Source organism: Homo sapiens, chromosome 12, assembly GCF_000001405.40.
Source record: "Homo sapiens chromosome 12, GRCh38.p14 Primary Assembly".
Taxonomy (NCBI): Eukaryota; Metazoa; Chordata; class Mammalia; order Primates; family Hominidae; genus Homo; species Homo sapiens.
Genome location: NC_000012.12, coordinates 24610165 through 24635403, shown reverse-complemented (window position 1 = coordinate 24635403; position 25239 = coordinate 24610165). Strand labels below are relative to the sequence as shown.

General features: G+C 36.4%; 1 long non-coding RNA gene across 1 annotated transcript in view; it reads left to right on the top strand.

Moving 5' to 3' along the window:
- LOC105369698 (uncharacterized) overlaps positions 1–20047 on the top strand; it is a 90315-nt gene extending 70268 nt beyond the window's left edge. The window contains exons 2-3 of the long non-coding RNA XR_001749046.2: positions 17594–17801; positions 17899–20047. This is a non-coding gene — a long non-coding RNA (uncharacterized LOC105369698). The remainder of the gene's footprint in view (positions 1–17593; positions 17802–17898) is intronic.
- Positions 20048–25239: the final 5192 nt, after the last annotated feature.

The following is a 25239-nucleotide window of genomic DNA, read 5'->3' as shown; positions in this document are numbered from 1 at the left end:
AAATTTTTCTAGCTCGTTCACCTCAGCGGTCCCTTAAATGGTCAGTAATGCTCTGAGTTCACCTCCCAACATGGAGATCAGGAATTGACACTCAGGCTGGTTTCCATAGCATAAACACAGTTTTTGACTAGGCACTCACTTCTTTCACTTCGAAGGCCATCTTGCTGAGAGGAAAGAGGCCCTTCCTGTCACTCTATCTCTACCTCCACCCCTAGTGCTCCTTCCTTTGATAGATAGAGTTTATATTCTTATACTAGTTGTCACAAGAATTTAGAAAATGAAAGTTGATCTCTCTTTAGAAAATGATTGGAAATCTCTGTTCTAGATACTACCTATTCTACCTCCTCCCCAGTCTTGCTTTTTTTTTTTTTTTAACTTTGGTTAATATGCTATATATAATAAGGAGAGATTACACCTGTTCGATCTCAAACAATAGAAATAATTTTAAATTTATTAGGTGAAGACAGATTTAAAAAAAAGCTCCTTAAAATCCTAACAAGTATAATTTGTATAAGAAGTGAAAAGCACTTTTTGAATAAAGCAATGGAGTAATTCTTAAATGTATGGATAATAACAATTGGATATTAATGACATGATATAGCATCGTGTCTGAAACTAGAAAATAACATCAGGCATTGTGATTTCAAGACTTGGTGATGGCAACAAAATAAGACTTTTAATGCTCTAGGAGTTGCATGAATAAACCACAACTTGGACAGTCTTTTTGGTATTTAGTTCAGCTTCAGTGTGAGCATTAACTTTTCTACTACAGGTTGGAACATAAGCAGTTGGTAAAACATGACTGATAAGACTGTTCATGAGATTTTGAATTTTTGGCAACAAATGTATTGTTTTAAATTTAAGTAAGTAATGAAAATATATGCATATTGCAAAAAAAATTCACAGAAATACTTGGACTAAAAATGAAAGAACTCCATCACTTCCATCACTTCTGTCCCAAATCACCTCTTTCTCTCTCTACTCCCATTTCTCACTTTCCTTCCCAAGGAGCAATTGCTACTAACAGTGTGGAGTTTATCCTTTTAATGGAATTTATATATGTGTGTGTGTGCTTGTGTGTATGTGCATGTGCATGTACATACACACATGCATAAAAGTAAAAGTTGTTTTTCTCAGACTGTATTACTCTGCAATTTAATTTTTTTCACCAATATATCTAGGAGATTGCTAAATGTTCAGAATATATACATCCCCATTCTTTCTAACTGACACATTATACTTCCAATTCTGTGAATATACTGTAAACTATAATCTATTTAATCATTCCTCTTAATATAAATACTTGTGTGATTTGTTGGTTTTCACTATTATAAGCCATGTTGAAATGAATATCTTTGCACATTCATATCTGAGTACATATACATGTATTTTTGTAAGATAAATTTTAAAGTAGAGTAATTCAATTTTAAAAATACAACAAAAAATCTACCCAAAATGCTAACCACTTTACCTATACTGTATGAGTGTTAGTGTGTATATCTGTCTTTGTCAACACTAGATAGTATAACTTTTAAAATTTCTGACACTCTGGCAATATATGTGTATGTGCCTGTATTAGTTTACTTGAATTTCCGTGATTACTAATAATGATTTGTTTTTGTCATTATATGAATACATTACTTTGTTATTATACACATACATATGCTATGACTTGCTTATATCTGTCCTTTTCTCATATTTCTACTGTACTGCCTTTTTATTATTGCTTGTGAATTTTAACCCCTTGTTGGTTATATAATTTTATCATTTTTGCCTGGTCTGTTATTTCTCTTTTTCCTTGAATTATGGTGTTGGAGCATATAAACATTTAACATTTTTATGTACCCAAATCTGTGGTTAATTTCATTGCTTCTGAATTTGGGTCTTGCCTTATTAAACCTTCACCATACCAAGATTATAATAATATTTCCTCCACATTCTTCTAATATTTTCATTATTTATTATTTAGTTGTTTAATCCATTTCCATTTTTTTGTGTATTTTACGTAGGTGTCTAACAACTTTTTATCCAAATTTTCAGTTTCCAAACACTAGTTTATTGCCTAATTTCTCCTGATTGCAAATGCAGCCATTTCTAAATGTCTACGTATGTGTATCTCTTTCTGGTCTCTCTATTCTATCCCATAGGTATGAGTTTGTCTCTTTGCTCAAATTACACTACTTAAATGCCTATATTTAAAATTTTGCATTGGTATACAATAAGGCAAATGCCCAGTATTATTTTTTCTTAAAATTTTCTTGGCTATTCTTTTACATTGTCTCTTTTTTTGTGAATTTTTGGATCAGTTTGTCCTAAACTATAACAAATCCTGTTATATATTTTGCATTCTTTATTAATCAATATTTGTAGTGGTCACAGAGCTTTACCGTTTTTAAATCAACATTAAAATTTTTCTTTAAAAATCAATTTATACTTTCAAAGAACTGAAAATGTAGTTGAAGAAAATAATTTCTAGAAACTCTTTATGAACTGTCTCCTTACAAGGTCAAGAAAAATATTATCACTTGCCTCAAGATAACTTAAAATAAGAGCATCTCATGTACCCCATAAATATATATACCTACAATGTACCCACAAAAATTAAAATAAACTGTTTTTTTAAAAGATCACTTAAAATAGTAGAAACATTTTTAGTAGAAGTGATTCCTGAAAGCACAGCAGAATCATCTTCACATAGTTCCTCCCTTCTGGGGAGTTTTAAATATCTGGAGAAATGACATCACCGATGTAGCTTCCCAAATATTTATGATGTATCAAGTCAGTGAGAACATCTAAATGAATGATTCATTTCATAATGAATAGATTGTGTTTGATCACTGATCTTTTTCTTAAAGTTGTTGAATAGGAAGACTATATAGGAAGTCTTCCTACATGAAGCTGTGAATAACTATGGTCATAATGCTTCAACATTCTGCCAAAGTTTGGCACATAAAAAGATTCCTTACTCTGCACTTTAAAAGGCAATGGAAAGAGAGAAAATTCCAAGATGACTTGTTCCATCATGTCACACATTTTAAATCCATCAAGCATTCAGACAATAACTACAATTATTCCATTCCCCAAGTGTCCTTACAGAGCCTAATATCTACATACCATATCCCCAAACCAACCATACACATGCATACATATTTTTTAAATAGACAAAGATTTACAGATGCACATATACATATATGCATATATTAACACACACATATATATGCTTCGCCACATGCATATGGATACATTGGAAAGAGAAGAGCAAACAAACAAAACAAACAAGCAAAAACAAGGCAAAAAGATAAAAATGCATGCAGAAAAAATTGTGGGGGAACCATGGGTGCACAGTGAAAGAAAGCATAGAAGAGAACAGATATGCGGGGTAAAGGTGGGGAATGAAAACAAGAAAACTATTAAACAGTGGTAACATTTAAGGCAAAATGCAGCCACATCAGCAAGTATTTTATATGACCTAGATTTTCTTGACCTTCTCACCTTTCAAAATTAAAAGCAGACGTAAGATTTGAGAAGGGCCATGTGTTTTTCTAAAATTGCATCTGAGATGAGCTTATTAAGATTATGAAACTTCCTCATTTGACTAAGAATGAATTCACATGTTAGCTCTAAATGGGTACAATATACCTCCCAAATATAAAACAAAATTGTTTAGAACATTGTTCTATGCATATATGCTGGGATAAAAATACCTATTTCTTAAGGAGGGAACATAATGTACAGCATCTAATGTCAGAGAATCATATCTAAATTTTCGTACTTTCAAATGATTTTTTTGATTAAAAAAAAAGAAATGCTTTTATCAAGGTTGCCTGCAGTGCAGAAAAGGGCACTTAGTTGGGAAATATTGATATTACTTGAATAATGGGCTTTTACACATTTAGCTCACTATTTATCTACATGATAGAGCTTCATTTTGGATACCTGAGAGTAGAGTTCATTTCTGAGTTAATGCAGCCAGATCTATAGACAGTCATTCTGGAGGGCACCGAGCTTCTGGGATACCATGCTGTGGGAAATATGCCCCCAATGCACTCATGAAAGGTTAAGTATCATACAAGTGAGCACATCCAAATTAAGGGGCAGCCTTTGGCTAAATGCCAACTTTTATCTTCCTAAAAATAATTTCTATCGATATGGCAACTTGCATCCAAAGTTAATGAGGTAGTGAATGATCATCATTGTGCCATTCATGATTCTTTTTGCTTTTTTCCCAACACAAGGAAAGAGACCGGTCAATTGCATTTATTACAATGTTTCAGGAATTAACTACCATAGAAACTCCTGTTGGTTTTCCTCCCACCACCCACTTACCATTTCTCAGAAATGTGGAGTAACCCTAACATGCTATTTGCCAATGCATGGGGCATGCAGATTTACTTCAGTATTCTTCATTCGTCATTTGGGGATTGCTAGAATCTTCTCAGATCTTAACAGAATGGCAGGTGTTTGTGCACAGCCCCTGGTTAGTTTTGTGTGTGTGTGCATTTTAAATATATAACAGAAACATGCAAACATGGCTCTGCTGGACAGAAATCTCCTACTCCTACTGCCTCTTAGCATGGTATGAAGAGTTTCTCTCAGGGTAGCATGAAACATTTGCCATCATTTTCCATCAGAAGAATATAAAGTAAATATAAAACTCAGAATGCATTGTTTGCAGGGCACTCCCTGTCTCTGACAACTTCATTTTTCAGAATGCAATGCTGTACTGCCCTCCTTCCCCTCTGGGCTGAGCTGCAGTACTAGTAATTGTAGACTTCAAAAAAATGTAGGAAGAGGGCTGCTGATAGAATAGAGTGTGACCTTATCAGAAATCAGTCCCAGGAGATGGGTGGAGGGTGTTCTGGGAGAGATGGTTGTCATTCTCAAGCTCTATTTCATGGTAGGGTTGGGTGTGTAGGGGACCGAGTGAAATCTCTTTTCATCTTCTGGCTTAGCTCAGCTGTTTCAGAGATCAATGTGGTTAACGGTAATTTTACACAAGATCTTACTAGTTATTAATCATTACTTAGTTCAACAAATATTAATTTTGTTCTACTACATTAGTCATTAAAAAGTCAATAGTCTTGGTATTCAGAGTTGTCATGATCTTGTGTGGTTCTGTGTGCCTGCCTGAATACTTTTATATAAAATTAGAAGAGGGAGATGCAGTAACTATTGGCAATTTCCCATCCTAACATAAAGACTCCACACTTCGTTGTTTTAAAAGCCATTTCCCATATCATTTCATTAGATACTACAAACTGTCTGGTAAAAATGGCTTGAGGTAATGAAAAAAAAAAGAAAAGAATAAGAAAATAAGAAAAAAGATAAAAGGCATTCATATTGGGAAGGAAAACATTAAAAAGTATTTGAAGATGACATGATTGTCTATGTGGAAAATCTGAAAATATCAACAAAAAATCCAGGAACTAATAAGCAATTATATTAAGGTTGCAGGATACAAAGCTAATATACAAAAGTCAACTGCTTTCCTATATACTAGCAATAAGCAAGTAAACTTTGAAGTTAAAGGCATATTATAATTTACATTGGCACCCATAAAAACGAAACACTTAGGTGTAAATCTAACAAAATATTTGCAAGATCTACATAAGGAAAACTAGAAAACTCTGATGAAAGGTTTAAGAAGAGCTAAACAAATAGAGAGATATTCTATGGTCATGGATTGGAAAACTCAACATTTTCAAGATGTCAGTTTTTCCCAAATTTATCTGTAGATTCAACATAGTCTCAATCAAAATTCCTGCAAATTATTTTGTGGATATCAACAAACTGATTCTAAAGTTTATATAGAAAGGCAAAATACCCATAATAGTCAACACAATATTGAAAGAGAAGAACAGAGAACTAACACTACCTGACATCAAAGCTACTAAATAGGTACACTAATCCAGACAGTGTTGTATTGTCCAAAGAATAAACAAATAAATCAATTGAACAGAATAGAAAACTCAGAAATAGTCCTACATGAACATAGTCAACCGATCTTCCACAAAGGAGGAAACGCAATACAGTGGAGCCAAGATAGTATTTTCAGCAAATGCTGAAAAAGAAAAAAAATAATAATCTAAACACAGGACTTATAGCCTTTATAAAAACTTCACTCAAAATAGATCATATACCTAAATGTAAAATGTATATATGTATAAAACTCCTAGAAGATGACATTAGAAAAAATCTGGATGACCATTTGTATTGGGCGTGGCAATGACTTTTTAAATACAACACCAAAGGCACAATTCATGAAAGAAACAATTGGTAAGTACAATTGTATTAAAGTTAAAAACTTCTACTCTACAAAAGATATGTCGAGAGGATGAGAAGACAAACCACAAATATTTGCAAACGATATATCTGATAAATGATTCTTAACTAAAATATACAAGAATCCTTAAAATCCAACTGTAAGAAAACTAACAACTCCATTTAAAGATAGGCGGAAGACCTGGACAGCTCACCAAAGAAGATATATAGACGGTAAATAAACCTATAAAAAGATGTTTAACATAATATGTCATTAGGGACTTGCAAATTAAAACAAAAATGAAATACCACTACACACCTATTAGAATAGCCAAAATTCAAAACACTGACACCACCAACTGCTGGCAGGGATGTGGAGAAACAGGAACTCTCATTCACTGTGGGTGAGAGTGCAAAATGGTACAGCCACTTTGGAAGACAGTTTGGCAGTTTCGTACTAAACTAAACATACTCTTACCAATTGCACCCCTTGATACTTACCCACATGAGTTAAAAACGTATGTCCATGCAAAAACCTGCACAGGGATGTTTATAGCATCCAAATTCATAATTGCCAAAACTTGGAAGCAACCAAATTGTCCTTTAGTTGTTGAATGAATAAATAAACTGTGGTACATCCAGACAATGAAATCTTATTCAGTGCTAAAAAGAAATGAGCTATAAAGCCATGAAAAGCAGGGAGGAGCCCTAAATGCGTATTACTAAGCAGAAGAAGCCAATCTGAAAAGGCCACATACTGTATGGTTCCAACTATACAACATCTTGGAAAAGGCAAACTATGGAGATATTAAAAAGATCAGTATGTGTTAGGAGGAGGGAAGGATGAATAGAGAGAGCACAGATGATTTTTAGGGCAGGGAAATTATTCTGTATGATACTATAATGGTGGATACATGTCAGTATACATTTATGAAAACCCATAGAATGTACAACACCAACAATGAATCCCAATGTAAACTATGGACTCTGTGATAATGATGTGTCAATGGTGGGGTATGTTGATAATGGGGGAGTTGTGCATGTGTGGAGGCAAAGGGAAATCTCTGTACTTGTTGACCAATTTTGCTGTGACCTTAAAAGCGCTCTAAAAAATAGCCTTTAAAAAAAAGCCAACTTGAGATAAAAATTTTCTCTAGCAAATTAGCAATTTGTTAAAAAATGGAATAACTTATTGATATTCATAACACATAGTAAAATGGACAGTTGCATCAATCATCCGTCACTTGGATTTTTTTCTTCACAATTTTCTGTTTTGTAATTTTTTCAATAAGTAATGTGAATTTTTTTTTTTTTTTTTTGAGGTGGAGTCTTGCTCTGTCATCCAGGCTGGAGTGCAGTGGTGCGATCTTGGCTCACTGCAACCTCCACCTCCTGGGTTCAAGCGATTCTCCTGCCTCAGCCTCACCAGTAGCTGGGATTACAGGTGTGTGCCACCATGCCTGGCTAATTTTTGTGTTTTTAGTAGAGACAGGTTTCACCATGTTGGCCAGGCTGGTCTCAAACTCCTGACCTTGTGCTCTGCCTGCCTTGGCCTTGAAAAATTCTTACAATAAAATTTTTTAAAGAATGAGTTGAGGTAGAGCATTAAATAATTTGCTGAAGGTCACATAATTATTGGCTATGCAACTCAGACTGGAAACAAGCTTACCAAATGGTTTCCAGGAACTCAGACTAGAAACAAGCTTACCAGATGGTTTCTAGAGTACTATTCAGTTCTCAAATAATCCAAAACTGGAACAAAAAGAATTCTTAGCAAAGGGAACTTCCTTTCTCTACTAAATGGTGCAAATGTGAAAATACGTATTTCTGCCAGACGTGATCAATAGAAGCAAGAACATAAACATCAGTAACAGGTTCTTAAGGGCAGAAGAATGAATGATGTTCTCATGCACACAATTACACAGCCCCTAGAGGAGCCCCATGCTTTAGGTGACTTTGTTGAAAGCTAAAATCCTTACAGTAAAATCCAATCCAAAGTAGGTCATTCTGTTGAAGGCAGAGGTGACATGTTCCAAATACGTGGTCATCTGTTGGTAATAATAAACTCAGAGATTTTGGGAATTTTTATAGGAATGACTTCATAGATTGTCCTTCAAGTGAATGTCCCTACAAGCCATTTCTCCCACCAAGGCTTTTAATAGGCACAGAGTATGAGACAAGTAAGTTATTCTCACTAATGAAAGCCTGGAATGATAGTAACTTTATTGCTGATTTGCAGGCAGATCCTCTGGACACTAAATAAACAGGTAGGAAAATAAATATTCCATTATGAAAATTAGGAAGTCTAACAGAATTTACTCTTGTCTAAATAAGAGAAAACCCATTTGCACATGTAGCTACTGAAAGGTTTTTCCCCGTGAAACAGTTGAACAATGTTTGCCAGAGACCTTAGCACTCTGTTCTGGAACACACAACAAGGATTATCAAAGCCTGAAAAATGTTTAAAATGTTTGATGAGGTGTCCTAGGCATCCCTCTTGCCATAGGTTAACCTCAGGAGTCCCCATGGATGTTGCCTCAGTAACATGGGCCCCTGCTGTGCCGTCAGACAATAATTGTATCCTGCAAGCCTACATACATCACTAAATAAATTAGCCTGCTGCACAGATTTTTTTTTAATTTCTCTCCAAAATGTTGGAGACTAACTGCCAACATTGTGTTTCTTAGATAATACTTGTTATAACCCTCTTTTTGACGATAAGCCCATCTTAACATTCCTGGTTAAATTCTCTACCTAAAAATGGGATATTCATGCTATGTACTATGGCAAGTAACCAGTTCAACTACAATCCATTTACACAGAGAGAAAAACAGATGAGAGTAAAATGCATTTTAGGAGACTTCACACTTTTCCTTGTGTTCTTTTCTCTTTCCTCTTGTTTCCTTCCCTCCTTAGCTTCTCGGATCCCTCTATTTCTCTGCTTTCCTGTTTCCTACCTAGACCTGTCTCTTGTCTTATATGCTAAAATCAATTAGTTCTGCTTTAGCTCCTCACCCACTAAAATTTCTACTTCCACTATATCAGCTAGGCCTGACACATTAGGTCATTAGGTTAATTCATATGAAGATATAAATGCCTGATAAAACTAATTCTCCAAAGGTGTACTTGCATTTTAAAAGAGGTGTTTGTTCATTGAAATTAATTTTTAATTATTAAAATGCTTGAGAACTGCACTGTGTTGAAGAATAACCTTTGTCAAACTATACTCCCTCACCCTAGTAAACCACAAAGTCAGAAGAATAATATCTAGAAACCCAATTTTTGAAAAGTTATCATTAAGCATGTAAGAGAGATAGCCAGCCAGGGTCTTCCCTATGCCAGTCAGCAAAAGAAAAGCTGGTATTAAAACCATGCAATTGGAGTCACTTCCAAGATGGCCAAATAGGAACAGCTCTGGTCTGCAGCTCCCAGTGAGATCAATGCAGAAGACAGGTGATTTCTGCATTTCCAACTGTGGCACCTGGTTAATCTCACTGGGACTGGTTGGACAGTGGGTGCAGCCCATGAAGGGCAAGCCAAAGCAGGTGGGGGATGTCGCCTCACCCAGGAAGTGCAAGGGGTAGTGGTATTTCCCTTTCCTAGCCAAGGGAAGCCGTGACAGACTGTACCTGGAGAAATGGTACACTTCCACCCAAATACTGCATTTTTCTCATGGTCTTAGCAACCAGCAGACCAGGGCATTCCCTCCCATGCCTGGCTCTGTGGATCCCAGGCCAACAGAGCCTAGCTCACTGCTAGTGCAGCAGTCTGACATCAACCTGCTAGGCTGCAGCCTGGCGGGGGGAGGGGTGTCCACCATTGTTGAGGCTTGAGTAGGTAAACAAAGTGGCCAGGAAGCTTGAACTGAGTGGAGCCCACCACAATACCGCAAGGCCTAACACCTGTAGACTCCACCTCTGTGGGCAGGGCATAGCTGAACAAAAGGCAGCAGAAACTTCTGCAAACTTAAATGTCTCTGTCTGACAGCTCTGAAGACAGCAGTGGTTCTCCAAGCACAGCATTTGAGCTCTGAGAACAGACAGACTGCCTCTTCAAGTGAGTCCCTGACCCTCGTGCAGCCTGACTGGGAGATACCTCCTAGCAGGGGCTGATAGACACCTCATATAGGCTGGTGCCTTTCTGAAAAGAGACTTCCAGAGGAAGGATCAGGCAGCAATATTTGCTGTTCTGCAGCCTCCACTGGTGGTATCCAGGCAAACAGGGTCTGGAGTGGATCTCCAGCAAACTCCAACAGACCTGCAGCTGAGGGACCTGACTGTTAGAAGGAAAATGAACGAACAGAAAGGAATAGCATCAACATCAACAAAAAGAACATCCACACCAAAACCCCATCTCTAGGTCACCAACATCAAAGACCAAAGGTAGATAAAATCACAAAGATAGGGAGAAACCAGAACAGAAAAGCTGAAAATTCCAAAAGCCAGAGTGCCACTTCTCCTCCAAAGGATCACAGCTCCTCGCCAGCAACGGAACAAAACTGGGTGGAGAATGACTTTGACGAGTTGACAGAAGTAGGCTTCAGAAGGTTGGTAATAACAAACTTCTCCCAGCTAAAGGAGCATGTTCTAACCCGTCGCAAGGGAGATAAAAACCTTGAAAAAAGGTTACACGAATGGCTAACTAGAATAACCAGTGTAGAGAAGACCTTAATTGACCTGATGGAACTGAAAACCACAGCATGATAACTTTGTGACACATGCACAAGCTTCAGTAGCCAATTTGATCAAGTGGAAGAAAGGATATCAGTGATTGAAGATCAAATTAATGAAATAAAGCAAGAAGGTGAGATTAGAGAAAAAAGAATAAAAAGAAACCAACTAAGCCTCCAAGAAATATGGGACTATGTGAAAAGACCAAATCTATGTTTGATTGGTGTACCTGAAAGTGACGGGGAGAATGGAGCCAAGTTGGAAAATACTATTCAGCATATTATCCAGGAGAACTTCCCCAACCTAGCAAGGCAGGACAACATTCAAATTCAGGAAATACAGAGAACACCACAAAGATACTCCTCAAGATAGCAACCCCAAGACACATAACCATCAGATTCACCAAGGTTGAAATGAAGGAAAAAATGTTAAGGGCAGCCAGAGAGAAAGGTCGGGTTACCCACAAAGGGAAGCCCATCAGACTAACAGCAGTTCTCTCAGCAGAAACCCTACAAGCCAGAAGAGAGTGGGAGCCAATATTCAACATTCTTAAAGAAAAGAATTTTCAACCCGGAATTTCATATCCAGCCAAACTAAGCTTTGTAAGCGAAGGAGAAATAAAATCCTTTACAGACAAGCAAATGCTGAGAGATTTTGTTACCACCAGGTCTGCCTTACAAGAGCTCCTGAAGGAAGCACTAAACAAGGAAAGGAACATCCAGTACCAGCCACTGCAAAAACATCCCAAATTGTAAAGACCATTGAAGTAAAGGCCATGAAGAAACTGCATCAATTAATGGGCAAAATAACCAGCTAACATCATAATGCCAGGATCAAATTCACATGTAACAATATTAACCTTAAATGTAAATGGGCTAAATGCTCCAGTTAAAAGACACAGAATGGGAAATTGGATAAAGAGTCAAGACCCATCAGTGTGCTGTATTCAGGAGACCCATCTCACGTGTACAGGAGCACCCAGATTCATAAAGCAAGTCCTTAGAGACCTACAAAGAGACTTAGACTCCCACATAATAATAATGGGAGACTTTAACACCACACTGCCAATATAAGACAGATCAATGAGACAGAAGGTTAACAAGGATATCCAGGACCTGAACTCAGCTCTGCACCAAGCAGACCTAATAGACCTCTACAGAACTCTCCACCACAAATCAACAGAATATACATTCTTTTCAGCACGACATCACACTTATTCTAAAATTGACCACATAAGTGGAAGTAAAACACTCCTCAGCAAATGTAAAAGAACAGAAATCACAATAAATTGTCTCTCAGATCACAGTGTAATCAAATTAGAACTCAGGATTAAGAAACTCACTCAAAACTGCACAACTACATGGAAACTGAACAACCTGCCCCTGAATGACTATGGGTAAATAACAAAATGAAGGCAGAAATAAAGATGTTCTTTGAAACCAATGAGAAAAAAGACACAACATACCAGAATCTCTGGGACATATTCAAAGCAGTGTGTAGAGGGAAATTTATAGCACTAAATGCCCACAAGAGAAAGCAGGAAAGATCTAAAATCGACACCCTAACATCACAATTTAAAGAACTAGAGAAGCAAGAGCAAACACATTTAAAAGCTAGCAAAAGGCAAGAAACAACTGAGATCAGAGCAGAACTGAAGGAGATAGAGACATAAAAATCCCTTCAAAAAATCAATGAATCTAGGAGCTGGTTTTTTGAAAAGATCAACAAAATAGACTGCTAGCAAGACTAATAAGAAAAGAGAGAAGAATCGAATAGATACGATAAAAAATGATAAAGGGGATATCACCACTGATCCCACAGAAATACAAACTACCTTCAGAGGTTGCTATAAACACCTCTCAGCAAATAAACTAGAAAATCTAGAAGAAATGGATAAATTCCCAGACACATACACCCTCCCAAGACTAAACCAGGAAGAAGTTGAATCTCTGAATAGACCAATAACAGGTTCTGAAATTGAGGCAATAATTAATAGCCTACCAACCAAAAAAAGTCCGGGACTGGACAAATTCACAGCCAAATTCTACTAGAGGTACAAAGAGGAGCTGGTACCATTCCTTCTGAAATTATTCCAATCAATAGAAAAGAGGGAATCCTCCCTAACTCATTTTATGAGGCCAGCATCATCCTGACACCAAAGCCTGGCAGAGACACAACAAAAAAGAGAATTTTAGACCAATATCCCTGATGAACATCGATGCGAAAATCCTCAATAAAATACTGACAAACCAAATCTAGCAGCACATCAAAAACTTATCCACCATGATCAAGTCGGCTTCATCCCTGGGAGGCTAGGCTGGTTCAATATACGCAGATCAATAAACGTGACCCATCACAAAAACAGAACCAATGACAAAAACCACATGATTATCTCAATACATGCAGAAAAGGCCTTTGACAAAATTCAACAGCGCTTCATGCTAAAAACTCTCAATAAATTAGGTATTGATGGAACATATCTCAAAATAATAAGAGCTATTTATGACAAACCCACAGCCAATATCATACTGAATGGACAAAAACTGGAAGCATTCCCTTTGAAAACTGGCACAAGACAAGGACGCCCTCTCTCACCACTCCTATTCAACATAGTGTTGAAAGTTCTGGCTAGGGCAACCAGACAAGAGAGAGAAATAAAGGGTATTCAATTAGGAAAAGAGGAAGTCAAATTGTCCCTCTTTGCAGATGACATGATTGTGTATTTAGAAAACCCCATCGTCTCAGCCCAAAATCTCCTAAAGCTGATAAGCAACTTCAGCAAAGTCTCAGGACAGAAAATAAATGTGCAAAAATCACAAGCATTCCTATACACCAATAACAGACAAATAGAGAGCCAAATCATGAGTGAACTCCCATTCACAATTGCTACAAAGAGAATAAAATACCTAGGAATCCCACTTACAAGGGATGTGAATGACCTCTTCAAGGAGAACTACAAACCACTGCTCAACGAAATAAAAGAGGACACAAACAAATGGAGGAACATTCCATGCTCACGGATAGAAAGAATCAATATCGTGAAAATGGCCATATTGCCCAAGGTAATTTGTAGATTCAATGCCATCCCCATCAAGCTACCAATGACTTTCTTTACAGAATTGGAAAAAACTACTTAAAAGGTCATATGGAACCAAAAAAGAGCCTGTATAGCCAAGACAATCCTAAGCAAAAAGAACAAAGCTGGAGGCATCATGCTACCTGACTTCAAACTATACTACAAGGCTACAGTAACCAAAACAGCATGGTACTGGTACCAAAACAGACATATAGACCAATGGAACAGAACAGAGCCCTCAGAAATAACGCCACACATCTACAACCATCTGATCTTTGACAAACCTGACAAAAACAAGAAATGGGGAAAGGATTCCCTATTCAATAAATAAGTGGTGCTGGGAAAACTGACTAGCCATATATAGAAAGCTGAAACTGGATCCCTTCCTTACCCCTTATACAAAAATTAACTCAAGATGGATTAAAGACTTAAATATAAGACTTAAAACCATAAAAACCCTAGAAAAAAACCTAGGCAATACCATTGAGGACATAGGCCTGGGCAAAGAATTCATGTCTAAAACACCAAAAGTAATGGCAACAAAAGCCAAAATTGACAAATGGGATCTAATTAAACCAAAGAGCTTCTGCACAGCAAAAGAAACTATCATCAGCGTGAACAGGTAACCTACAGAATGGGAGAAAATTTTTGCAGTATACCCATCTGACAAAGGACTAATATCCAGAATCTACAAAGAACTTAAATAAATTTACAAGAAAAAAAACAACCCCATCAAAAAGTGGGCAAAGGATATGAACAGACACTTCGCAAAAGAAGACATTTATTCAGCCAACAGACACATGCAAAAATGCTCATCATCACTGGTCATCAGAGAAATGCAAATCAAAACCACAATGAGATACCATCTCATGCCAGTTAGAATGGCGATCATTAAAAAGTCAGGAAACAACAGATGCTGGAGAGGATGTGGAGAAATAGGAATGCTTTCACCCTGTTGGTGGGAGCATAAATTAGTTTAACCATTGTGGAAGACAGTGTGGTGATTCCGCAAGGATCTAAACTAGAAATACCATTTGATGCAGCGATCTCATTACTGGGTATATACCCAAAGGATTATAAATCATTCTACTATAAAGACACATGCACACGTATGTTTACTGCAGCACTATTCACAATAGCAAAGACTTGGAACCAACCCAAATGCCCATCAATGTTAGACTGGATTAAGAAAATGTGGCACATATACACCCTGGAATACTATGCAGCCATAAAAAAGGATGAGTTCATGTCCTTTGCAGGGACATGGATGAAGCTGGAAACCATCATTCTCAGCGAACTATCACAAGGACAGAAAACCAAACACGGCATGTTCTCACTCATAGGTGGGAACCGAACAATGAGAACACATGGACACAGGGTGGGGAACATCACACACCCATGCCTGTCGGGGAGTGGGAGGCTGGGGGATGGATAGCATTAGGAGCAATAGCTAATGTAAATGACGAGTTGATGGGTGCTGCAAACCAACATGACACATGCATACCTATGTAACAAACCTGGACGTTGTGCACGTGTACCCTAGAACTTAAAGTATAATAAAAAAGAAAAGAAAAGAAAAAAAAACATGAGATTTGCATTTTAGATCTCACACTGTATCTTAAGACAGAGCGCATCTGGGAGTGTTTCAAGTTAATAGTTGTTAAAATAAGCTATTTTTGTCATATATCCTAAAATAATCACGCTCACAATGACATGAAGGTAAAAAGGAAAAATTACAATTTCTTTCCATGACCTTGTGGTAAAGTTACAAAGCCAAATCCATAATTTTGATAAAAGCTTCATGTATGAAGTCAATCTATACTATCAATAGACTACCAATCACGAGAAGATTCATTAAAAAACCCATGTTGTGCAGCATTCAGGTTGCTTCATGCTGCTATATAATAACCTCTGATGGAATATTCAGATGGAAAACAAGATTCCTAAAGAAAACATATGTTTTATATGGAGAAAGTTTTACCTGATTCGCTTTACCCTTCTCCCCAGGCTCCAGACTCACTTTCACAACTGCTTGCTAAACCTCTCCTTTATTCTTGCCTCCCATGTCTACTAGCTGCAAACTTTTACCAATGTTACCTACACAAGATCATTTAGACCCACCTATTTTATCATCATCACCCTATTTCATGCCATTTTTTATCTTACTCCAAGGCTCTTCTAACAGCCCCCAAACTGGATGCCTCCATACCCAGTCTGGAATATTCTATGCACAGGAGATAATGGCTTTCCATGAGATTGCCTCAAACACAGGCTCTAGATGACCCACTGAGGTAGGCCAAACTCTGTGAAAAGATGTTCAAAGCCAGATTTGGTCCCAAATACCTTTACAGTTATTTCTCCACGCTTAATCTCTCTATCCTCTGGCAACCAAACTAGACTGACTCCGCCCTGTTTCTAAACAGAATTTTTCCCATTGGTCACTTGCTCATTCTCCCCTGATCCAGGCCCCGTTTGTTATTTTTGCATGTTGAAATCCCATGTATCCTGTAAATTACTGCTCAGTCTTTAGAGCTTTTTCTGATACACCCAATTAGATGGAAAAATCTCTCCTTTACATTCTTAAATACTTTTTTACATTTCTGTAAAATTAGCATTTTGATTTATTATTAGCATTTATATACTTCAATGAGATTATAAACTCTTTGAGAGAAGCTATTGTATTTTACTTGCCTTTCCACTAACATTGCTTTTTACAAAGTAAAGAGCTCAATATATATTAGAATTGAGATGAATTAAATTTGACATATTTCTCTGATTTGGCTTCTACTTGCATGTAACTTTTTTTGAGTTCCATGTGTTGTCTTGAGAAACAGTATTTTCATTATACAAATTTTAAAATAAATATAGAATGTGACATTTTCTCTCCTTTCTCTCTTTCAATGATGATATGTTTTCAAAGATGTTAATTCCTGTGGGGGTAAAATTTTCATGGTGTTCCTGGAAGCCAAAGTTTTTTGAAAGAAGTTCCAAACATGCAATTGTCTGTCTCTACAACTGGAAGTAGATTTGAGGCTCAGCAGGGTGTTATCACAATTTTTTAAGAGATGATATATTTGAAACAAAATATTTAAGTTATAATAGTCTGGTGCAAAAAACAATTCCTTTTTCTTTCCCTACAGCCATCATGTATAACACTCTTCTTATTTCTGATACCTTACAAATTTCCTGCATTGGCATTAAAGAAATGTGTCTTAATACACATCATCTTGCCCTCCTGGAGAAATAGACTGAATTTGTCTAGGTGTTCTAAGAAAGCATACTGTGTATTTGGCCTATTTGTGGCATAAGTAGAAAACTACCACGTACAGACGCTGCTATTGTTACCTTCGAAAAAAAGAAAAAAGAAAGACATAAAAGAAAGAAAAAAGACTGTTTTAAAATTTACTTGGACTGTGAATGCATGGGTTCCATTTCCTGAAGTGTAGAGTGAATATAGACAGTTAAATAAATAATGAAAGTTACAGTAAAACCTGTGTCCCGCTAATACTCTCTTGATATTAAACAAGGGCAGTTTTGTCTTTAAAATACTAACCCGTTTCTTCTTATAACATTCAATCTCTTCTAGGAATTTCAACTGCTTTTGAACTTATAGATTGTTTCAGATTATTCACAGTAAGTGGCCTGTTTCTCCTGGAGTTTCTTTGAATTGAGAAGCCCCCCAGGGATGCCAGAGGAGAAGGGAAAGGAAACAAACCTGACTCACCACCGTCTAGTTAGGTTACAGTTTAAAGTGAGTAACGAAGCTGTGTGACCAGCAGCGTGACCTTCAGCTGGTAAGTGCTCCTCGTGGATTTACAGTTAGGAGCCTTTTAATTCATGTTCTAGTCTTGTCCAATATAGGACTTAATTAATCCCTCTGTCTTTTTGCAGCCTAACTTGGAACAATAAAATGAAACAACTTCTGGAGATGCTATATGGCTTTAATTCCATAGATCCATGGTTTGCTAAATCTCAACATTCAAATATATTAATGTTAACCTCTCTGATTGATACTGTTTTTTGGGGTGGTGATTATTTTTATATATGTCTATACAAATCTGGTGTTATTGTCTGTATAACTTTTATTAATTCATGCTATTTTCACTCTGACATGGTCTCACTATTTTAAAAGGGAAAGTGCTGAAGAGTTTAGAATAATGTTTTTTTCCCCTTGGCTCACAATAAAACCAATGTGAAAGAAGGGATACAATCTTGCCCTAAATAATTATATTGGCTAAGGTCCAGTTAGGTGAAGAATATTAGTTCCTAATCATTCAAATGGCAAGAATTTCTTCTTCACTCAGCTGCACAGGCTGGAGTTCAGTTTCCTTGGAAGGGAATTTGTATTAGTATCATGTTTTAGGAGCATCCATTATTTTCAGATAGAATTACCTGAATGTAAATAATTCCAATGGAGAGACAGAAAAATAGCAATGTATGAATACTGAAGTTTAGGAATAGTCAATCTCCATTTTCTCTGGATTCGGTAACAATCTATGCTTATGATCAGTATACCTCAAGGGAGATTAGTAATATTTATTGAACTTTCAAAGTGCTTGGGAGTGATGGTCAGAGGAGAAGCTGAGAACATGATTCCTGCATTCGAGTGTCTTTCTTAAAAAAATATAAGATCTGTTGAGGTTGCTCCACGTATTTTCATTCGATATGATAGTGTCCTAGAAAGCTATATGTAAATTTATGGTTCTGCAGATTAAATCTGGTTTTCTTATTTTGTTTCAACAAAATCTTCTTACCTGCTTTACATTTTTATTTGTCGGTCCAAGCAGATTCATTAAGGTTTGAGAATCCAGTGATAGAAAATTGTTGCAAAGTACATGAAACAAGTACTTCATCACAGTTCTCCCAGTTCTGAGAGGTATGGTGGGCTTAAAAAGAAATACAGACCTGTTCTCAGTTTGCTTCAGAAAACAATCTTGCACTAAGTAAACCACCCATTTCACATTTCTCAAATCCAGTGTTTGCTCAGTTTGTTTTGTTGACACTAGGCATAATCCTCTCCATGGGTAAGCTGTTGAGAAGTCCCTCTAGGTGAGCGAGCTGCTCCCTGCCATCTTCTAAGTGATTGCTTCTTCTCTTACTGCAGCTCACTGTGGCTGTGATCATGGCTCTCACCTCACCAAGAGAAACTGCCTGAGCTGTAGCAACCAAAGTTGGGACAGGAGTACAGTTAGTACCACTTTCCCCAAAAGATGGGACACCCACTATGGATTCATGAACTCCTCCTTATGTCAGAACGCAGATTATAAAACTGAATATCTTGTAAGGGCACCACGCTGTGTGCTAGGATGTAGATTCCTTCTCACTGACTCAGGGAGGACATTCTCTCTCTTTTTACTTATGATAAGAAAGGTATGCCTGGCCTATATTGCAAAACTTCCATGCCTGTATAAAGGGCATTCCCACTTTTTTCAGTTTAGTCTTCCACTGAGGGACAAAAGATTCTGAACAAGATCAAGGGGATAAGGCTGCACGGAATTCTCAAAGCTTCAGCTTTCACAAGTAGCACCTAAGGTTGCTGAATTCTATGTTAGTTTTATTTTTAATTTTTAAGGAACCTCTGTATTGTTTTCCATAATAATTGTATCAATATAAAATCTTACCAAGAGTGTACAAGGGTTCCCTTTTCTCTACATCCTAGTCCATACTTGTTGTCTTTTGTCTTTTTGAGAATAGCCATTTTAACAGATGACATAAAATCTCATTATGGTTTTGATTTGCAGTTTCCTGACGATTAGTGATGTGAAGAATTTTTATCATATACAGGGCCTCCTCGACTTATAATGGAATTCTCTTCCGATAAATTCGTCGTAAGTTGAAAATATTGTGACTTGAAAATGCTTTTAATACATGTAATCTGCCAGACATCATAGCTTAGCTTCGTCTACCTTAAATGTGATCAGAACACTGACGTTAGCCTTCAGTTGGGCAAAATTATTTAACACAAAGCTTATTTTATAATAAAGTTATTATAAAGAATTTCACATCAAAATTCAAAATTCTAAGTACAGTCTCTACTGAATGTGTATTGCTTTTGTACCATCATAAAGTTGAAAAATCAAAAGTTGAACCATTGCAAGCTGGGACTGTCTTGCACTTGTTAGCCATTCGTATGCCTGTTTTTGAGAATTCTATATCCAGTTCATTTGCCTATTTTTTATAAAGTTACTTGTTTTCTTCCTATTGAGTTGAGTTTCTTATACGTTTTGAATGTTTACCTCTTATCAGATATGTGGTTTGCAATTATTTTCTCCCATTCTATTCTTCACTCTATTGATTGTTTTCTTTTCTGTGCAGAAGTTTTTATTTGGATGTAATTTCATTTGTCTATTTTTGCTTTTGTTAGCTGTGCTTTTGGGGTAATAACCAAATAAGCATTGCCAAGACCAATGTAATAAAGATTTTCCCCTATGTTTTCTTCTAGTAGTTTTAAAGCTTCAGATCTTATGTTTAAGTCTTTAATTCATTTGGAGTTATTTTTTGTATGTGGTGTGAGATAAGGGTTTAATTTCATTCTTCTGCATGTGAATATCCAGTGTTTCAACTGCATTTGTTGAAGAGACTATCATTTCCCCATTGTGCATTCTTGGTAAATTTGTCAACAATCAATTGACAATAAGTGTGTGGATTTATTTCTGGAGTCTCTATTCTGTTGCATTGGCCTTTATATCTGCTTTTATGTCAGTATTATACTGTTTTGTTACTGTAGCTTTTTAGTACCGTTTGAGATCAGGCTGTGTCACTCCTCCAGTTTTGTTCTTCTTGCTCAAAATCGCTTAGGCTATTTGGGGTCTTTTGTGGTTCTGTATGAATTTCAGAATTGTTTTTCTATTTCTGTGGAAAATGCCATTGGAATTTTGATAAGATTGCATTCAATCTGTAGATGATTTGGAGTAGTATGAACATTTTATATATTAATTCTGCCAATCCATGAACATAAAATATCTTTCCATTTACTTGTGTCTTTCTTTAATTTCTTTCATCAGCATTTTATAGTTTTCAGTATACAGATCTTTTACCTCTTTGGAAAAATTTTATTCCTATGTATTTTATTATTTTTGATGCTATTGTAAATAGATTTTTCTTAATTTCTTTTTCAAATAGTTTGTTTTTAGTGAATAAAACCACAGACAATTTTTGTATGTTGATTCTGTACCCTGCAACTTAACTGAATTCATTTATCAGTTCTAAGAGTTTTCAGATGGAGTCTTTAGAGTTTTCTATATTTAAGATCATGTCATCTGCAGACAGAGACAATTTTACTTCTTTCTTTCCAATTTGGATGCCTTTATTTCTCTATGTTGCCTAATTGCTCAGTCTAGGACTTCCAGTGCTATGCTAAATAGAAGTGCAAGAGTAAGCATCTTTGTCTTGCCCCTGGTCTTATAGGAAAAGCTTTCAGGTTTCAGCTTTTACCATTGAGTATACTGTTAGTAGTGGGCTTTTCATATATGGCCTTCATAATGCTGAGTATATAGAAGGAATAATGTATATTTCTTCTATACCTAATTTGTTGAGAGTTTTTTTTAATCATGAAAACATGTTGAGTTTTGTCAAATCATGCTTTTTCTGCATCTGTTAAGATTATCATGTTTTTTATCCTCCTCCTGGCAATGTGGTACATTACATTTATTGATTTCAACTTGTTGAACTATCCTTGCATCTCAGGGATAAATTGCATATGATCATGGTGTATGATCCTTTCAATGTGCTATTGCATTTGATTTGCTAGTATTTTGTTGAGGATTTTTGTTCTAATGTTCATCAGGAATATGGACCTGTAAATTTTTTAGCTTGTAGTGTTCTCCTCTAGCTTTGGTATCAGGGTAATGCTGGCCTGATAAAATGAGTTTGAAAGTGCTTCCTCTTCTTCAACTTTTTGGAAGAATTTGAGAAGCATTGGCATTATTCCTTCTTTAAATATTTATTAGAATTAATTAGTGAAGCTATCAGGTCCTGGGTTTTTCTTTGTTGGGAGGTTTTTGGATACAGATTCAATTTCCATACTCATTATTGGTTTGTTCAGATTTTCTATTTCTTCATGATTAGGTCTTTGTAGGTTGTATGTTTCTAGGAATGTATTCATTTCTTCTAGATCACTGTGTTCTTCAGAATTTTTGTTAGAGTCTTGATTATGGTTTCAATATCTTTGAATTTTTCATTTTGTTCATGTGTTGTTTTCCTTAGTCTCTTTAGTCATTTGTCTGTGTTCTCTTACAGCTCACTGAGCTTCTCTAAAATGATTACTTTAAATTACTTGTCAGGCAGTTTATAGATCTTCATTTCTTTTGAGTTGGGTATTTGTGCTTTATTCCATTATTTTTGTAGTATCATGTTTCTCTGCTTATTTGAGATTCTTGTGGGCTTGCATTGGTGTCTGTGCATTTTAAGAAGTAGGCACCTCTTCTAGTCTTTGCAGACAGACTTCAATAAGGAAAGCCCTTCACCAATCATTCAATTCAGAGATTCCATCTACAAAATACAAGCAAATCAAATGCAGGGTCCACCCATAGGCACATGCTGCTGGAATCCTTGGACTGTGGCTTGGTGCATGGGTCAATGGGCAGGTGGGCCTGGTGCCTGGATCCACAGAGGCCAGCCTGGCACCTGGGTTGTTGGAGATGTCCTGGAACCTGGGTCTGTGGGGGCTGTCTAGAGCCTGGAGTTGTGGGGACTGGCTGGGAATTGGGGTGGGCCTGGAGCCTGGGGCCACAGGTTTCAGCCTGGCACTAGGGTTCTCTGGGGCAGACCTGGTAAGATTAAGATAGTGTGTAGAAAAGCTGGATATTATTTTACTCTCCTTCCCCGAATGGAGGGCATGTCAGTCCACACTGTATGGGCTTGGGTTGGGGGAGGAATTACATGAGTAATGTAAAACTGTCCTTTCTACCTCTTCAATGTATCTTTTCTTATTTCTGTGTTCCACCCATCTGCTGTAACCACTGTCCTGAATTCCTTAGCTCTTGTGAAGGTATTTTTATATGTGAATGGTTGTTCAGATTGATGTTTCTGTGAGAGGAAGAGCATTGGAAATTCCCATTCCACCATCTTGCTGTAGTCACTCTCCCAGTTACAATGAACTTTTTGAAGGGAGAATAATTTGATCACTTGCAGAAACCATCTACAGCAACCTTTCAGCGATATATTTATAAAGTATCTGTCACCTGGAAGTTGCATAATCAGAGAAAGAGACTGATCCAAGAAGTAAATGAAGCAGATGATAGAATCAGCAGAGGGAAGGGATGTGATGAGAAGAGTAAAGTTTCAAAATTGACTCAAAACCACACTAAAAAGTTAACTCAAAGTGGATCATAGACACAAACATAAAACCTAAAACTACAAAAATTCTAGAAGAAAACATTAGAGAATTTTTTGTGACCTTGAGTTAAGCAAAGATTCCTTAGGATATAAACATCACAAATCATAAATGAAAAATTTATAAATTAGATTTCATCTAAATTAAAGTCTTTTGTTCTTTTTGAAAGACATTGTTGAGAAAATGAAAAGTCAAACCACAGACTGGGGGAAAATGTTTAAAAATCATGTATTCAATAAAGAACCGAAATCTAGAATACAGAGTTCTTAAATCCTAATAATAAGAAGGCAAACAGCTCAATTTCGTTAAATGTGCAAAAGATTAGAATAAATATTTCCCCAAGGAAAACATGCCAATGGAAAAATGTACATGAAATTATGCCCAATGTCATTATTCATTGCAGAAATTTAAAACACAATGGCATACTACTACACACCAGTTGAAATGGCTAAATTATTAATAAAGAATGACCATACCAAGTGTTGGCAAGAATATGGAGCAACCGGAACTCTTATACACAGCTGGGGGGAAAGAAAAATGCTACAACCAATTTGAAAAACAATGAGACAGTTTTTTTTACAAAGATAAGCATATGCTTAATATATGACCCAGGAATTACACACCTAAGTTTTTACTGAAGAGAATTGAAAGCATATAACCACATAACTACTTATATAAATGTTTGTAGCTCCTTTATTTATAATGGTCAGAAACTGAAAACCAGTTTCATCAGCTGGAAAATAGATAAACAAATTATAGTGTATTTATACAATAGGATATTACTCAATAAGAAAAAGGAACAAACTACCAATATATATAATATGGGTGGAAAAAAGCCAGATGTTAAAAAATATACACTGCAGGATACCATTTTTTTTTTAATTCTGGAAAAGGCAAAATATAGTCAGAGAAATCAGAACAGTGGCTACCATGAGTCAGGGTATAGAGAAAGAGGGTTGACTGCAAAAGGGGCATGAGGGGACTTTTTGGAGTGATGAAAATGTTCTATATTTCAATTAGGATGGTGGTCACCTAACTGTACACATTGGTCAAGGATTATCAAATTTTATAAAATTTAGTTAATTTTACTGGTTGAAAATTATGCTTAAATAAAATTAAATTTCCTGAATTGAAAAACAAAATCAGTGAGGAAGGGAATTAAAGAGACTAGTGTAGACACTGTCATGTTCTACGTTGAGGGAGATAGCATGCCACAATACTGAAAAATACCATTGTCATGGTGCTGAGAAAACTGGGTGTCCACATGCTGAAGAATGAAACTAGACCTCTAACTCTCACCATACACAAAAATCAAACCAAAATGGATTAAAAACTTAAATATAAAGACCTGGAACTATAAGACTACTAGAAGAAAACATCAGGGGAACACTCCAGGACGTTGTTCTGGGCAAACATTTCTTGAGTAAGACTTCAAAAGCACAGGAAACAAGGAGAAATGGAGGAATGGGATCACATCAAGCTAAAAAACTGCACAGTGAAGGAAGTAAAAGAAAGTAAAGAGACAGCCTACAGAATTGGAGAAAATATTTGCAAACCAGTCATCTGACAAGGGGCTAATGAATCAGGATATACTAGAAGCTCAAAAAGCTCAGTGGGAAAAAAAAACAAATAATCCAATTTTAAAATGAGCTAAAGATCTGGACTAGATATTTCTCAAGAGACAATATACACATGGACAAAAGATATATGAAAAAACACTCAATAGCACTAATCATCAGAGAAATGCAAATCAAAACTACACTGAGATATCATTTCACCCCAGCTAAAATGGCTTATATCCAAAAGACAGACAATAACAAGTGCTGTAGGGATGAGGAGAAAGGAGAATCCTCGCCACTGTTGGTAGGAATGTAAATTAGTACAACCACTATGGAGAG